Source organism: Homo sapiens, chromosome 20 (genome assembly GCF_000001405.40).
Source record: "Homo sapiens chromosome 20, GRCh38.p14 Primary Assembly".
In the NCBI taxonomy this organism is placed as follows: Eukaryota; Metazoa; Chordata; class Mammalia; order Primates; family Hominidae; genus Homo; species Homo sapiens.
In genome coordinates this window covers 17,586,268-17,603,183 of record NC_000020.11, presented here as the reverse complement: position 1 = coordinate 17,603,183, position 16,916 = coordinate 17,586,268, and the positions used below count along the sequence as shown (strand labels likewise).

General features: G+C 39.1%; 1 protein-coding gene and 1 pseudogene across 2 annotated transcripts in view, besides 1 other annotated feature; one reads left to right on the top strand and one right to left on the bottom strand.

Moving 5' to 3' along the window:
- Window positions 1–16,916, bottom strand: part of DSTN (destrin, actin depolymerizing factor) — a 39,845-nt gene that overhangs the window by 6,736 nt on the left and 16,193 nt on the right. Inside the window, exons 2-3 of one of the 2 annotated variants that reach the window (NM_001011546.2) lie at window positions 11,121–11,252; window positions 2,139–2,446 (exon numbers count right to left, since the gene is read on the bottom strand). In NM_001011546.2, coding sequence (NP_001011546.1) covers window positions 2,139–2,398 — 260 coding nt within the window. In that variant the 5' untranslated portion in view covers window positions 2,399–2,446; window positions 11,121–11,252. The remainder of the gene's footprint in view (window positions 1–2,138; window positions 2,447–11,120; window positions 11,253–16,916) is intronic. The other variant, NM_006870.4, reaches the window with a different exon arrangement.
- Window positions 185–686: an enhancer, noted in NCBI's record as "NANOG hESC enhancer chr20:17583143-17583644 (GRCh37/hg19 assembly coordinates)". NCBI's record gives its function as "activates a minimal SCP1, AML or CMV promoter by ChIP-STARR-seq in primed H9 embryonic stem cells {active_cell/tissue: H9 hESC(primed)}" and the evidence as "EXISTENCE:reporter gene assay evidence [ECO:0000049][PMID:30033119]".
- LOC100286962 (ras homolog family member G pseudogene) lies at window positions 3,377–3,887 on the top strand (annotated as a pseudogene).

Sequence of the window (16,916 nt, the reverse complement as noted above, 5' to 3'; positions counted from 1 at the left end):
CCCTAGTGAGCAGAGATTCCATTCTTGGGAAAAAGGGCAGTCTGTCTCTCAGAGGCTTATTCCTCCCAATCCTAAGGTCCAGGGAAGGAGGCAGAGCCATCACAACCTCAGGACTGGCAGATGTTTGAGCTACAGGGTGGGTACTTTTTATTTTTTATTTTTTTGAGGCGGAGTCTCGCTCTGTCACCCAGGCTGGAGTGCAGTGGCGTGATCTCAGCTCACTGCAACCTCTGCCTCCCAGATTCAAGCGATTCTCCTGCCTCAGCCTCCCGAGTAGCTGGAACTGCAGGCGTGTGCCACTATGCCCAGTTAATTTTAGTAGAGATGGGGTTGCACCATGTTGGTTGGCCAGGATGGTCTCGATCTCTTGACCTCGTGATCTGCCCACCTCCACCTCCCAAAGTGCTGAGATTACAGGCATGAGTCACTGCGCCCAGCAGAGTGGGTACTTTTGTTATGAAAATAGGTCAGAAACATAAAAAAGCATCAGCTGTTCTGCTTTTATTCTAACCAAATTGTTAAACTACTTTAAGAGCTGCTCCCTGGGCCATGGGCGGAGCTTGTTATAGAAAATGCCTTTAATAAGGTTCTACCTTTTCTTAAGTAACAGTGTAACAGTGCAAAATAAACCACTGCACTAACACTAAATTTCCTTTTCTTCTATTATTTTCCACATTTAAAAAAATAAGAATGCATACTTTTCATAATTACAAAATACATAAAAAGCAGAAAAAATACCTGCAAATTAAGGAAATACCGACCAATTTAAAAGCCTAAACCATTAGCTGGCCTGTCTGCCACTCAGCTGTGAATGCCAGAAGAGGAAGGACTTAACCTGTTTTATTCACAGCTGTTTTCCCAGGCCCTCGCACAATAGCTGGCGTGTAGTAGAAATAAAGTTCAGTAAATGCACCTTCATTCAAATCCTTGTTAATTTTCAGTCTTATGTACCAGCTTCAATGGACTCTAAGCTGCCTGAATACGTGCACCCTGACCTCATATTTGCATTCCTCACAGCAACTTGGTTTAATCAAGTGCAGTAAAAGCTTACTGAAATACAAGTGAGGTGTGACCTCGAGTTATCTTCCTTTTTAAACCACAATCCTCTGCATCTCCTACTCCCATATCCCTTTTACACTCCAAGCTATTGATGGCACATAGCTAAAAGCTAAGTCCCTCCCTGCCTTGCCCTGACTCAGGCCAAAGTATCAAGAGAATCCTTGCCCCTCTAAAAAAAAAAAAAAGAAAAAAATCAGGTAGTGTTACCATTTCTCCCTCCCCTTAGAAACTAAAGAATTCTACTCCTGGCCATATCAAGGAATGCAGTATAATATTCAATAAATGAGGGATCCAGGTGTAACTTTTTTCTAAAGCTTCATCTCAAATACCGACTTGCCTGAAAAGACCAGAATAACTAAACAACATTTCAAGAAAAAGGCCATAAAAATAACTTTATAGCCCTGTTTCACTATCTAAGAGTAACACTGCCCAACAGAGTTTTCTGCAATGATGGAAATGTTCTGTATCTGTGCTACTCAATAAGGTGGCCACTAGTCAGATGTGGCTACTGAGCATTTGAAATGTGGTAATTCATTCAGCTAACAAACTGAATTTTTAATTTTAAATAATTTAAATAGCCACATGTGGCTAGTGACTACACTACTAAACAGTGCAACTGTAGAGCAAATTATAGCAGGGAGGGAATGGTACCAATTTCTTCAAAAGTAGTAGACCACAGAGGCACAAGGAAGGGGTGTAATTTAAAAGAGTAGATAGAAGGCTGGTTCCTGGCATGGCTCGTTGGAAAAGTAGGGTTTTGGCTTATAAGTAAGAAAGTTAAAAGTAGTAGGAAATTTTAGCCTATAAAAGCAGTACATTCAGAGGATGCCTCCTGTCCTTTCCCCATTGAAAAAAAAAACAAAAACGGAGAGTCACATAACAAGTAGATAGAAAATAGTCAAAATTTAGTTTGGGTCCCATAAACATCAGCCCTGGTAACATTATGAAACCTGTAAATAAAAATTAAATGACAACAACTGCAAATAGTTTGAATAAAAATTACTTTGGTGCTGGAACTGGTCTTCCCGAGTGCTAACAAAATGAGTTTTACAGAGGCTCAATATTTCTAACATGCTTACCACAAAAAAAACATCAACTCTTCTTTTCTGGATTCTTTTGTTTCAAAGCTTGCATCATACAAAGCATAGCGACAATCTTTTTCAGGAAGCATTCCCACAAAATGCTTGAAAGGATCAGTTATGGTTACACCAACATCTCCAACCAAGATCTCTTTGCCTTCTTCTACAATGATGCACTTTTTGTCTGCACTGAGACAAAAAATGACAGCCTTCTTTCTTTTCTTGATTTCTTCTGGTGTGGAGCATTTACGAACTTTCATGTCATAAAAAATGCGACATACTTCATCAGCTACTTGCACTCCTGAGGCCTATGATGAGAAAATACATGAGAAAAAGACTTACAATTTTTATTGTGCCAAACATAAAATAATAAATTCTGCTTATAGATTGGCATATATTTAACATTTTAAAGGTATATCATCTAATTAAAAAACTAGAAATTTGAGCTGTAATCACTACTAATTTTAGACATCAAACTTTTTAAAAGATCACAAATATATGCCATTCCTCACTACTGCACAGGGGTAAGGAAACATTCAACTATAGCAGCCTCTCCTACCCTAGAACCTTAAAAGAAGTGTTTCCTAAGGTGCTGGGTTATTTTCTTCTTATACAGGTTGCTTAGAGCCTTGACTACAGGCAGATCATCTTCCCAGTGTGTATATTCATGATACCTAAAATTCCTTTTGTAATACACAGTAGCTGGTCATAGCTGCTAGACTGGGAAATTTCCATCCCTACAGCATCTCTTTCTCTAATAAAAAAAAAGATTTATTAAGAGGTCTTTGCTCTACTCACATTTCAAAATTATGTGATCAATATTCAGTATTAGTCACACTTGCCATTAAAATTTCACTTAAAAATTCCAAATTTTAAACTAAGATTAGAATAAATAAGAAAATGTCTACTGCTATAATAAAGAGGGTAGCTTAATTAGGGATTATACTGACCAGAAAAATTACCTTTCGCTATGTTATACTTGCTATTCTGGGCTGAAGGACAGTTAAACAAAATCTTGATAGCACAAGATCTTAAACCAGTTTTTAATTTTTTCATCTTGAGGAATGTGCTATTTACATTAACTTTATTATATCCATAATTGTTAATGCCTCATTAACTACTTTGTTTTGCATGTTAGCTTTTCTAAAGCAAGAATTATAAAGCCCAACAAGAGATGCCCAGGAGGCTCTGCCAGTCATGGTTGAACAGCACTGGAGGATGATCAGACTAAGGGAAGAATGTAGACAATCAAATGTGTGATTGCAGGAGATGTGGCTGTAGACAAAGCCTGCCTCCCCATCAGTTATACAACAAATGCCTTTCCTAAGGAGTATATGCCCAATGTCTTTGACAACTACAGCACCCAGACATCTGTGGATGGCCAAATCATCAGCCTGAACCTGTGGGACACCACTGGCCAAGAGGAGGAATATGACCAACTGCGACTGTTCTCCTATCCCCAAGACCAATATCTCTGTCATTTGTTTTTCCATTGGCAACTCATCCTCTTAGGCCAATGTGAGGCATAAGTGGTACCCAGAGGTCTCCCATCATTGCCTCAATGTATCTGTTATGCTGGTAGGCACCAAAAGGGACCTGTGGAGTGACCATGAGACAGTGAAGAAGCTGAAGGAGCAGAGCCAAGTGCCAATGACTCCTCAGCAAGGCCCTTCCCTGGCTAAGCAGGTGGGAGCTGTGAAGTATCTGGAATGTTCAGCCATGATGCAGGATGGGGTGCATGAGAGATGGGGTCTCGTTATGTTGCCCAGGCTGCAGCCTAGTGGCTATTAACAGGAATGATCATAGCACACTACAGCCTTGAACTCCTAAAATTGGGCAGTCCTCCTGCCTTGGCCTCCCAGATAGCCAGGGCTGCAGGTGCATGACAAAGCGGCTGGTTACTTCATTCTTTTTACTGTTGAATAATGTTCCATTGTTTGGATATCCCACATTTTCCTTATCTATTCATCAGTTGATAGACATTTGGGTTGTTTCCACTTTTTGACTATTAACACTGCTATAAACACTCGTGTACAAGGTTTTGTGTGGGCATGTTTTTAATTCTCTTGGGTAGAAAACTAGGAGTGGAATTGTTGGGTCATATGGTCAATTTATGTAAAACCATGCTTTGAGTCAAGAATGGTATCTTTAGGCTGGGTAGTAGCTATGCCTGTAGTCTCAGCACTTTAGAGGGAGAGGGCAGGAAGATCACTTGAGTTCAGGCGTTTGAGACCAGTGTGGGCAACATAGGGAGACCGTGCCTCTAAAATTTTTTTAATAAAAAGGGAAAAATGAATCATAAGCAATAGAATTTAAATACTAAACAATGGAAAAATATTAATGATACCCAAATGTCAAATCATTTAAGAAATAAAAATGCATATAAGATGAAGATAACCAACAGAATGAGAGAAAACATCCAAAAATCCTACAAGGAACTTGTCAGAATAAAGAACCCTTACAACTCAATTATAAAAAAAGGCAAATACTTCAATTAAAAAACAGTTTTAAAGGATTTAAATAGACAGTTCTCCAAAGATGTATAAATGGTTAATAAGGACGTGGAAAAAATGCTCAACATCAATAGTGATTAGGGAAAAGCAAATCAAAACCATAATGAGATACCTCTTCACTTCAAAACCATAATGAGTCACCCACTAGGAGGGCTAAAATAAAAAAGATGGACAATAACAAATGTTTGTGGGGCCATGGAGAACTTGGAACCCTGATATGCTACTGTAGAACTGTAAAAGGGTACAGCTGCTTTGGCAAACAGTTTGGCAGTTCCTCAAAAAGTTAAACATAAAGTTAACACCTGACCTAGGAATTCCACTCTTAGGTATATATACTCAAGAGAAATGAAAATGTGTCCATACCAACACCTGTACACAAATGTTCATAGTAACATTATTCAAAATAGACCAAAAGTGAAAACAATCCTAAAGTCCATTTAGTGATGAATAGATTTTTAAGATGTAGTATATCCACACAATGGAATATTTCTTGGCCATTAAAAAAATGAGGTACTGATACATGCTACAAGGATGAACCTTGACAAACACTGTGCTAAGTGAAAGAAGCCAGACAGAAAAGGGCACCTATTGCATGATTCTATTTATATGCAATGTTCAAATTGGGTAAAATCAACAGACAGTAGGTAGATTAGTGGTTTCCAGAGGTTGAGAAAAAAGGGGAATGGGGAGTGACTGCTAATGAGTATGGGTTCCTTTCTGAAGTAATGAAAATGTTCTGGAAGTTGACAGGAGTGATGCATACACAACTGTGAATATACTGAAAAACCACTGAATTGAACTGTACTTTGTGGTATGTGAATTATACCTCAATAAAGTTATTACAACAAATACCATGTGTTCGCACTTAGGAACTAAATAATGTGTACACCTGGACACAGTGTGAAATAAAAGACAATGGAGAGCCAGGGGAGGATGAGGAATTAATTAATGGGTAGAATGTATGTTATTCGGGTGATGGATACCCTAAAAGATCTGGCTTCACTGCTACCATCCATGCATGTAGCAAAATTACACTTGTACCCCCATACATTTATACAAACAAATAAAAATAAAGTTGTCACTTTAAAACACATGCAAGAATCCTGGGAGAAAGATACACTAAGATCCTAGCATTTACTTAATATTAAGGTAACTGGGCTATTTCATCATCTCATTCATTAAAGATCTCTAAATAACACACTCCAATGCCATCTACTCCACATTTTCTGTTCATAAATGAACATTCACTCTAATAAAGTGGCAGAAACAGAAAATTAGGACTAGAAAACTCATAAGTACACAATATTACCACATTCCTAATTTTAAAAAGCACTTTTCTTAAACCTTTTACTGCTTTAGGAGTAGCATATTTCTGATCTTTACAACGTATCTTATGTTAAGCAAGTTAAGAATCTCCATTTTGCAACAGATGAATAAAATGTTCAAAGCAACAAAAATTGAAGAACTAGAAACAGATCCCAATCCCTCTAACTCCCTAGTCCATAATGTTGAAGTCACATTTGACCCAACAAGCAATTTCTAAAAGCAGGAAGGCAACATCTAAAGCCTTATATTCAATCAACCAATCTTTAAATACATCAATCAATATCTAAGCATCTCAAACATTCTAAATTCTGATTTGTAAATTAAATCAATGATGTACTAGTAATCAAAAACAAAGTAAATGTGCATTCTGCAATTATAAAACAGATAAATCTCAGCCAAATCTGGCTGTAACTTACAAGCTCCTTAAAAGCCTCAGTAAGGAAGAATTTTGTCTTTTTTTCTATCAGAAGTGATGTCTGTGGAGGTTTCTTATACCATTAGACACTTGTGCTTGAGGAAATTAACACTGAATACTTGAAGGAGAAACTGGCACAGAAACTGGAAGCAGAAAACCAATTTTGACACAATTACAAATATTCAGAGAAGAAAGCTCTGAACTACAGCAGTGAGGTTAAAAACAGAAAAATTCAAGGACATGTCAAAGTCAAACCAATATAGCTGAATGAGACACAAAAGAGTGGTATCAGAGAAGCCCCAGGATTCTCTCGATTAGTGACTAGACTGCAATATATGAACAGAAAAGGAAATATGGCACAGTACGACACATCCACTCTGAAGACTGTGCAAGACATCTAGGTGGAGATGACCAGACAGTGGCAGAAATATGAGCACGGATCTCGTTGGAAGGCTTCACCTAATCCATATTTTGGACTAGCCCACACCATGGGGTCACCAACATTAAGCAGCAAAAGAAAAACCAATCTAGTTTCTCACCACTGAGTACGTAAAAATTAAAAAGAGAAACCCATCAAGGACACTAAAAAGAGGTAATCAGAAAACTAAGAAGAAAAAGAAGGAAGAAAGCAGCATCTTAGAAGCAAGGGAGAATATTTTGAGGAGGAAAGTCATCAACAGCCAATTCTGCAGTATTTCAGAGAATGAAAACAGATCGCTGGGCTTGGCAATTGGGCCTCTGAACATTTCAACAGATGGGAGAAATGGGACAGAAGTCAACCATAATGGACTGGGGACCCATGGGGAATTGAAGAGGTAAAGACAGAAAACATAAGATGGTTAACAATGAAGAAAAAAGGGAAGATTGAATGGTACTTCATGCAAGTTGTCTTATGATTGGGGAGATGTAACTGTTCTAGATATTTAAGAACTTGAAGGAATAAAGAGGAAGAGCCAAAACATTAAAAAAAAATTAAAACATACACTGAGTACTTACTATTGCTAGACACTTCTAAATCACAACAATTCTATGAGACAGCTACTATCACTATTTGCATCTTAAAGATGCATAGCAAAATTAAATAATTTGCCCAGGGTCACAGAGTAAACAATAGAGGAATTGGGATTTGAACTCTGGCAATTTGGCTCCAGAGGAGATTTTTTTTTTTTTTCCAGATGGACGTTCGCTCTTGTCATCCAGGCTGGAGTGCAATGGCACCATCTCGGCTCACTGCAACCTCTGCCTCCTGGGTTCAAGCAATTCCAGAGGAGATAATCTTAATCACTCATAAAATTAACAATATCAGAGATCTAAAGAAATGGGTAAGATCCACAGCACAGATGGGAGAGTTAGCCTAAGAAAAAGATACACATTTTTTTCTCTGAAACAGGGAGGAAGGGAAAATGACAGTTTTGAGGTGGAAGGAAGATACACTGCCAAAAATTGTGTCTGAAAGATTCTATTTTCTCTGTGAAGTATAAGGCAGGAGGAGTAGGATGGGTTTGAGGGCACTCCTCCAATCTACTACTACTAACAATTCAGAACAGCTATGACGGGGAGTTCCAAAAGGAACTACCTAAGGACAAGAAAAAGGGCTCTGGGGACCTCCAAAAGGTCAGCTGAGGTCAAGGGGTGAGGGTGGTAGGACAATGCAGTGGAAAGCAGAGGCTGATGGCAGTGTGGAAGGAAAGGACGAACTCTGCATTCTTCCTCAGAGAGTTTACCCAAGCTCAAGCTTTCAATCATCTAAGCCAAAACTTAGTTCAGACTTCTGCTCTTCTGAGCTTCTAGTCTTTACATTCAACTTCCTATCTCACATCTCCAGTTGTGTGTCTCAAAGGCATGTGATGCACAACATGTCTAAAATAAAAAACAAGCTGGTCCATTTCTAACCAGTCTTCCTTTCTCAGTAGCTATCACCACCCTCCTAGTCACATAAGGCTCCAAGCCTAAGAGATGTTCTTAGCAACTCCTCCATTATCTTACTCTTTGGATTTTCATCTTTCTCTGATACATTCATCTCATTTCACCCTCAGTCCAAGCTTCCATTGCCTCTTACTTGGACTGCAGTAACTCCTCAAGTGGCTGCAGAGGAGGGAGATTAGGATATGTATACATCATACTGTTTTCTCTTCTTGGCTGAACAGGAAAGACTGCATTCCCCAGCCTTCCTGGCAAGCTGAGTTGGCTGTATGACTGAGTTCTGAACAGCCATTTGAGTTCTGAACAGCCAAGCTGGGCCCAGTTATGTAAACTACTTCCAGTCCTGGCCCTTTAAAAGTGATCTTTAAATACACTAAATACAGCTTTTTAGATGTGAATCCTACCACAATAAAATGATTTTTAAAACATCAAAAATTAAATAAAAGTTAAATAAAAGTGATCTTAAAGCTCTGTTTTCTCCCACCAAGATGACCTTGGTAAGCATACTTCATGATAGGAGAAGGCTGCCCAACCCTTCTGGACTCTGCGTGACAGAGACAAATCTTTACTGTGTTAAGTCACTGAGATTTTGAATTTAATTTGTTATTGCAGTTCTAATACAACAAGACTGCCCATACCAACTGCCCATCACCTTTACCCTCCAATTCATCCTCTACATAAACATGAATCTGATCACCATACTTAGAACAGTCCAGTGGCTTTCCATTGATCTGAAGGTAAAAAATAGCTATTTATTTATTTATTTATTTATTTATTTATTTATTTTTGAGATACGGTGTCACTTCGTCACCCAGGCTGGACTGCAGTGGCATGATCATAGCAAACTGCAGCCTCGCACTCCTGGGCTCAAGTGATCCTCCCACCTCAGCTTCCTGAGTACTGGGACTATAAGCACGTGCCACCATGCCCAGCTAATTTTTAAAATTTTTTTTGTAGAGACAAGGTCCCACTATGTTGTCCAAGCTGGTCTCAAACTTCTGGCCTCAAGCTATTGTCCTGCCTTGGCCTCCCAAAGTGCTGAGACTACAGGTATGAGCCACCACCCCCAGCCCAATAATGGGCTCCATTTGGCTATACCTACCTCTTTAGCCTTATCTTATAGACCACACACTGCAATTTCACTACCCTGGCTTTCTTTCAGTCATTTGTACTTGCCATACTCTGGCCCACTTCAGGGCCTTTGCTCATACTATACACCCTGCCTAGATAGCACTTCCCTACAGTTCTTTGGCTAATACTCTTTAGATGTCAGATCAATTCTCACTACGCAGAAAAGTCTTCTGCATCAAAACCAGTATCACATGCTCCCATAAGATCATGTATCTCCACCACACACCACCTCCTACCACTTCAATGCTCTATCTTTAAAATTACTTAATATCATCTCCTTAAGGCCACAAGTTCTTAAAGACTGTAAGTTCCTTAAGATAAACGGTGTCTGTCTTATTCATTATTGTGTTACCCTGAAAAAAAAATCAAAGATCAGTCAGATGAATCATTAGTTTGACTTATGGAGAAGATAAGGACAGCACATACAAAGCTTCAATACTTGGTAGAATATACATTATTCCTTGATAAACTCCAGTGGAAGGGAATTTAAAGAAAGTAGCTTAAACAGAAAGACAGTTCATCAGGTAGTTTCATGCTGACTTAAAAGCACTCTAAAACAAGGGGACTGAAAGGATGAAAAGACTGCTCCTGACAAAGAGAACCCAGCAAATACAACAGGAGATGAGGATAAGGGAGAAGGAAACTGGAGACTCGCACCAGGTTGAGATGGAAAAGGCCTCCAACAGAAGGTTCAGGGGTTTGGAGACTGGATATTTTTAAAAAGAGTAAGAGGAACAGAGTTGTGCTTTGGGAAAATACATGAAGCCATGCGTAAGAGAACAAGAAGAGGAAGAAAATTATAGTAGGCACTCCAGCTAAAAGGCTAATTCAGCAACCAAGGCAAGAGGTGCAAAAGGCCTTCACTAGGGTAGTGGCAGCATTACTAAGGAGGAAGTGATGGGAACTGCATAGGTGCAATCAATTGTAGTTGACAATCACTGGACTGGGAGAGGGGAGGTGGAAAGGAAGGAGTCTGTATGGTGATCAGGAGGCTAATTAATAATGCCAAATGCTCACTTTCCTTAATTTCCCCACTGTGGTGGCTTTGATATTAGAGTAGTATGGCTCTTCATGACTAGTAACTAGTAGTATGGCTCTTCATGACTAGTAACACTATATACTAAATTTTGCCTGCAAAAATAATAAAAAACCCACAAGGTATAGTATATGTTAGATTTAATGAATATACTTAAATTTATTATACCATGGTTTACTTACCACATCCTTGAGATATGGTGAATATTAAAACCGAGATAAAAGAAATAAAGATTAAATAACCGGTTCCGAGATTTTTTTTTTTTTTTTTTTGAGACAAGGTCTCTCTGTGTCATCCAGGCTGGAGTGCAGTGATGTGATCATGGCTCACTGCAGGAGCCCTGACCTCCTGGGCTCAAGCGATCCTCCCACCTCAGCCTCCTGAGTAGCTGGGACTAGAGGTGCATGCCACCACACCCAGCTAATTTTTGTATTTTTTTATAAAGATGGGGTTTTGCCATGTTGCCCAGACTGGTCTCGAACTCCTGGGCTCAAGTCATCTGCCTGCCTTGGCCTCCCAAAATGCTGGGATTACAGGCATGAGCCACCATGCCTGGCTGTAGTCCCTAGGTTCTTGATAATGATTTTTATACAGTAAAACTAAAACCATGAGGCAGACAGAAAGCACGGAATACTAACCCTAAAGCCTGGCCCAACACTGCCCAGGGCTCTGACCTTCTTCTAAACTCCATTCTCGTAGTGCCTGTGTATCTCCTCTCAATACGCTGGTAGCTCTCTTACGTCTTTGCCTCTAGTGGGTGAACTGAAAATCTGGGGTAAAGATTAGCAGATGGAAAGAAGACAATGATTAAAGTAACTGCAATTTATTAACATCTCAGAGACCAAAAGGAGATATCTTAAAGCACTAAAATCATGAGAGTAACAATCCATCCCCATTCCTCTACTAACTAGCTATGTCACCTTAGGCAAGTCATTATCTCTGAATTAAATTTGTTCCTTTAACTGTACTTAGGGGAGTGGACTAGATCAGTTATTATCTAACTCTAATGTGCACAGGAATCACCTGCAGATTTTAAAGATTCTGATTCAGAATATCTGGGGTAGAGTCTGAGAGTTTGTATTTACACTAAGCTTCAGGTGATGATCACTAAGATTGCTCTGAAATTTCATGAAAGAGAATAAAATCGTAGCTCATTGCTATAGGGGCTTCTTTGCCTACAGGCAAAATTTTTATAATGAAGCAGTAGTGGTAAGAGTACTTTATTTTACCAATATTAGTAGGTCCAAAGTCAAAGCATTTTTTGTGTGTGCCACGGACTCCTGGCAAAGCCTATGGGCCCTTTCTGGAAATAGTGTTTCAAATAAAATAAAATATACAGGATTGCCCAAAAAAAAAAAAACCCAATTATACTAAATAATAGTTTATCTATAATAATAGTTGAGAGTTCTTGTATTAATTTTGGATGATTTGTTATCACAAAACAACATCATGGTGAATATTAAAACAAAAGTGGCTGTAACACCAATATACAGAATTATCTGTTTTACAGATATTTATTATCTTTTTACCTAAAAGAGCCTTTCCCATCAGTCCCATTCTTTCAGTATTTCCGTGGTTTTTCTGGGGGGGAAGGGGGACAGGGTCTTGCTCTGTTGCCCTAGCTGGAGTGCAGAGGCACAATCATGGCTCACTGCAGCCTCAATCTCCCGGGCTCAAGCGATCCTCTTACCTCAGCATCCAGAGTAGCTGGGACTACAGGCAAACACCACCACACCTGGCTAATTTTTTAACTTTTTTGTAGAAACAGGGTCTTGTTATGTTGCCCAGGCTGGTCTCGAACTCCTGGCCTCAAGTGATCCTCCTGCCTCAGCTTCCCAAAGTGCTGGGATTACAGGTGTGAGCCACCATGCCCAGCCCTAGTATTTCTCTAAAATGTTAGGTTATTAGATTTAATTGCTCATTTGTCAAGAAACCTAAACTTTATTTTTAAAAAAGCAAAATCAAATTGTTTTTACTTAAAAAATTTTCTAAGAGTTACTGATATTCAAGTACACAGTTTTAACAATAAAGACCATTAAAGGATACTCTGAACATAGCACCAAGTTTGCTGCACAAATGGGAAGGAAAATCTTGAGAGCAAAAATAGACTGCTATCATAACAAGAGCTTTGTGATTACCTTAAAAAGATATGTTATCCACAACTTCAGTTTCTCCATGTACCAGTGACCACTGGAGAACAGTTGCTCTTAGAGCTCCACCCCCATGTCAAAAAATAGCTGTTAAAAATATACTTCACTGCATTTTATCTCGCTTGACTACCAGTTTTTAACTTGTTCTCAAACCTGTCTGAGTCTCCTCTGGCACAGCTTTTGTGAAATAATGTTTCAGAGATTAAATCAATACATCTGAGGCCCTGCATGCATACTTAAGAATCACTGTGTAAGCTTCTTTAAAAATGTTACTACTCACTCACAGAGGGAAGTAAATGTTACAAAGAATATGGAACACTGGGTATTTTACAGTTGCAAAGGACAGAACACAACTTAAAATAACAATTCTCTCAATTCTAGCATAAGGATAGTAACCTTTGAAACGTGAGCATTAAATTTTTCTAATTTGATTTTTGTAAATAACTGAACCAGTCCAAAAGCTAAATGCAATGATAGCTTACAGCAGTCCCTCCTAAACCAAAATAAATCAGAAACGGTGGTCTTTTTCCGTACTACTAAACTCAAGACAGACACCTGACCTTGGCTACATAATTAATGACAACTAAACTTCACATGATCCTTATTATTAATAGAGAAAACAGGATGAAAGCTATTTTAACTACCTCAGAAAATTATTAATTAAAAAATTTTTTTCTAAGGTAAAGTCTGAAATATTTGAATGTAGGATACTGCAGACAAATACTCAAATTTTCAATAGCAAATTTTCAAACTGGCAAAAATGTCATCAGCATCTTAATCTACCTACTTCTACCAACTTCTCAAAGGAGTTAGGGAGTTAAAAACTGGGTTCACGATTCTACTTTATTTATACCATGCCTTGCACAAGGGCCAATAGAAACAGAATGACTAATGACAAAATATTTGGGCTTTTGGCTGCTATAATTGATGCTTCTGAACAATCATGCTGAGACAATAAATAAAATGAGAGTGACAAGTTCTTCAGCACATTTCTGCTTCACAGAAGTGTTCAGGGCCTCACAGGTCCTATATTAAGATGCGGAACTTGGCTGGGCGCTGCGGCTCACGCCTGTAATCCCAAAATTTTGGGAGCCTGAGATAGGCAGATCACCTGAGGTCAGCAGAGCAGCCTGGTTAACATGGTGAAACCCCGTGTCTACTAAAAATACAAAAATTAGCCAGGCATGGTGGTGTGTGCCTGTAATCCCAGCTACTCAAGAGGCTGAGGCAGGAGAATCACTTGAACCTGGGAGGCGAAGGTTGCAGTGAGCAGAGATCACACCACTGCACTCCAGCCTGGGCGACACAGCAAGACTGCCTCAAAAAAAAAAAGTAGGGGGAGGGAGGGTTAGGGGTTGAATATATACATCTCCCTACCAAAACTCTACTTAAAGTATAAAAATGGGATTAAAAAGAAAAAGAACATAAGTCCACCACGACAAGAAGAGAAGAAATATGGAAGTTCAAATAAGGAAGAATGAGTGAAATGGGTCTGAGAAGCAAAGATCCCTAGACTCCCTCCTGAACGCCATCCTGCTGCCAGCCCCTTACCCCTGGAATTCTGGAGTTTATTCTCTGGAGAAGGTAAACAGTAGTTCTGGAGTAGTCAGAGGATACAGGTGACCATATGTAAATGAGTGCTGAAACACTCTCCCCACCACCACCACCATCTTGAAGTCATGCCTTACTAAATCCTTTGTCCCACTGTTCTAGAGAGCCGTGCTGTCCAACAGAACTTTCTGTGATGATACAAAGGTTCCTTCTTTTTGAGACAGAGTCTCGCTCTGTTGCCCAGGCTGGAGTGCAGTGGCGCAATCTCAGCTCACTGCAAGCTCTGCCTCCTGGGTTCACGCCATTCTCCTGCCTCAGCCTCCCAAGTAGCTGGGACTACAGGCGCCCGCCACCATACCCGGCTAATTTTTTTTTGTATTTTTAGTAGAGACGGGGTTTCACCATGTTAGCCAGGATGGTCTCGATCTCCTGACCTTGTGATCCGCCCGCCTCGGCCTCCCAAAGTGCTGGGATTACAGGCGTGAGCAACCGTGCCCAGCCAAATGTTCCTTTTTATTCCCCTCAATTTAGAGTTTATTTTGCCAAGGTTAAGGACATGCTGATGACATAGCCTTAGGCGGTCCTGAGAACATGTGCCCAAGGTGGTTGTGTGACAGACTGATTTTACACATTTTAGGTGGGGCAGAAGTTACAAGCAGGCATCAATCAATAGAGGTAAAGTGTACATTGGTTAAGTCTGGAAAGGTGGGATAACTCAAACAGGGGATTCCAGGACATAGGTGAATTCTGTAAACCAAAAGTACCTGAGGTCTCAATCAAGTTAGAAATTTATTTTGCCAAGGTTTAGGACATGCCTAGAAGAAAAGAACCCAGAAGCACGGAAACAGTCTGTGGCCTATGCCTTTCTGCAAAGATGATTTTGAGGTCTTCAATATTTAAAGGGGAAACGTGCCTGGAGGGGAAAGAAGGAGGGTATGGTCATACACTGTGCAAGAGAAAAAAAGCAAGTAGGGAACAGTACATTATGTACTGGTCTCGTGCTCAGTAAATCAGCATTTTACATAAGGTGAAGATGTCCCTTTTCTGCACTGTCTAATATGGTAATCACTACCAAGTGTGGCTACTGAATACTTGATGTGTGGCTAATAAAGCTGAAGAAATTTTAAATTTTAAATAGTTTGATATAAAGTAACACATAAAATTAACTCTGTTAATACCAAAGTAGTATGTCTGGAGTAAACAAATTTATTGACCATATTTCATAGTTTTCTGCCTCAGAAAACAATATATTATTTAGCTTGATTGATGCCTGCTGTCATCAGGAAACTCAGTTATCATGTACACAATGACAGACTAATGCCTCTAATATCAAAGTCACTCAAAGAGAAAAAAAGAAAAAAAAAAGAATAATGCCTCCAAGGGTAAAGACTTCAATTCTAGTTTACTACAATTAACTATGGTTAACTATTTCTGAGGGCAAGGAAGAAATCTTGGGAGAAATTCAGATAAACTCTTTTTTTTTAAAGTACCTATTCCGAGTGTTAATTTGGAAAGAGTCAAAACAACCAAAATGAAGGATCATCATAAAGTTTCATACAAGAGGGCCTGACTTAACCAGGTGTGGTGGCACATGCCTGTAGTCCCAGCTACTCAGGTGATGAGGGAGGATCACTTGGGCCCAGGAGGTGGAGAATGCAGTGAGCCAAGATCACACCACTGCACTCCAGCCTGGGCAACAGAGCAAGACCCTGTCTCAAAAAAATAATAAGGACTTGACTTTAAGCAAAGACCTTAATTCTTACAGATGCCATAACAAGAATTTTTTTTTTTTTTTTTTATTCCTTGAGAAACAAAAGCCTAGTTATTGGGGAAGAAGTGAAATAATGGATTTAAAATATAAGGTTTATGTAACAGCAATAAAGATAACTTCATTGTATGTAACAATACTACACACAGGGCTATTTCTGATTTTACAATTAACTGGGAAAATTGAGCAAGTCAAATACTGAATATATATATATTTTTAAACTGGCTGTGTTATTCTCAAAAACAGAATTTGGAACATTTAACCTTTGAAGACCTTTTTAACCAGAGGAGAAAGTGTACCACAGGGTTGAATCAGACTTACTAAAATCCTGTAACTTGGGCAAGTCAGCTAACTTCTTTAATCCTCAGCTTCATCATCTGTAAAATGTGAATTATCATACTGCTAACTCAAAAGGACTGATTAAAACAACACACATAAGGCCTTCCATGCACTAAGCAAAGACTCTTACATTAACCAGAAAATCTAGTTAGAGCTTCTTCGACTCTTTCTAGTTAACAATGCAGCCAATTTTTATTGAAATCTTTGGGTAACAGAATGTTATGGATAAAGAAACCAAACAGCTTAAGACTGATTTGAAACAGTAATTTCCATTTGTTCTCTGATAATCAAAACTACGAATTAAAAACAAACCTAAGAATTTAATGTGCATCTCTTCTTTCTCCACATGACTATTAAGTGGTTAAACAGCAAAGCCATATCAACAGCAAAGAGAAGGGAATAGTTCTCTCAACACAGTAAGATTCAATTACAATACCTCCTACCATTCTCCTAGGCACAACCATCACCTGCAGCTATAAATCAAAATCTGCAATGATGAAACTGGGTCCTATGAGGCAAGCCATTGGTTTTGTCCTAAAATATGTCCCTTTTCCTAGTATATACAGGCATACCTTGGAGACGCTGCAAGTTCAATTCTAGACCATAGCAATAAAGCAAGTCACACA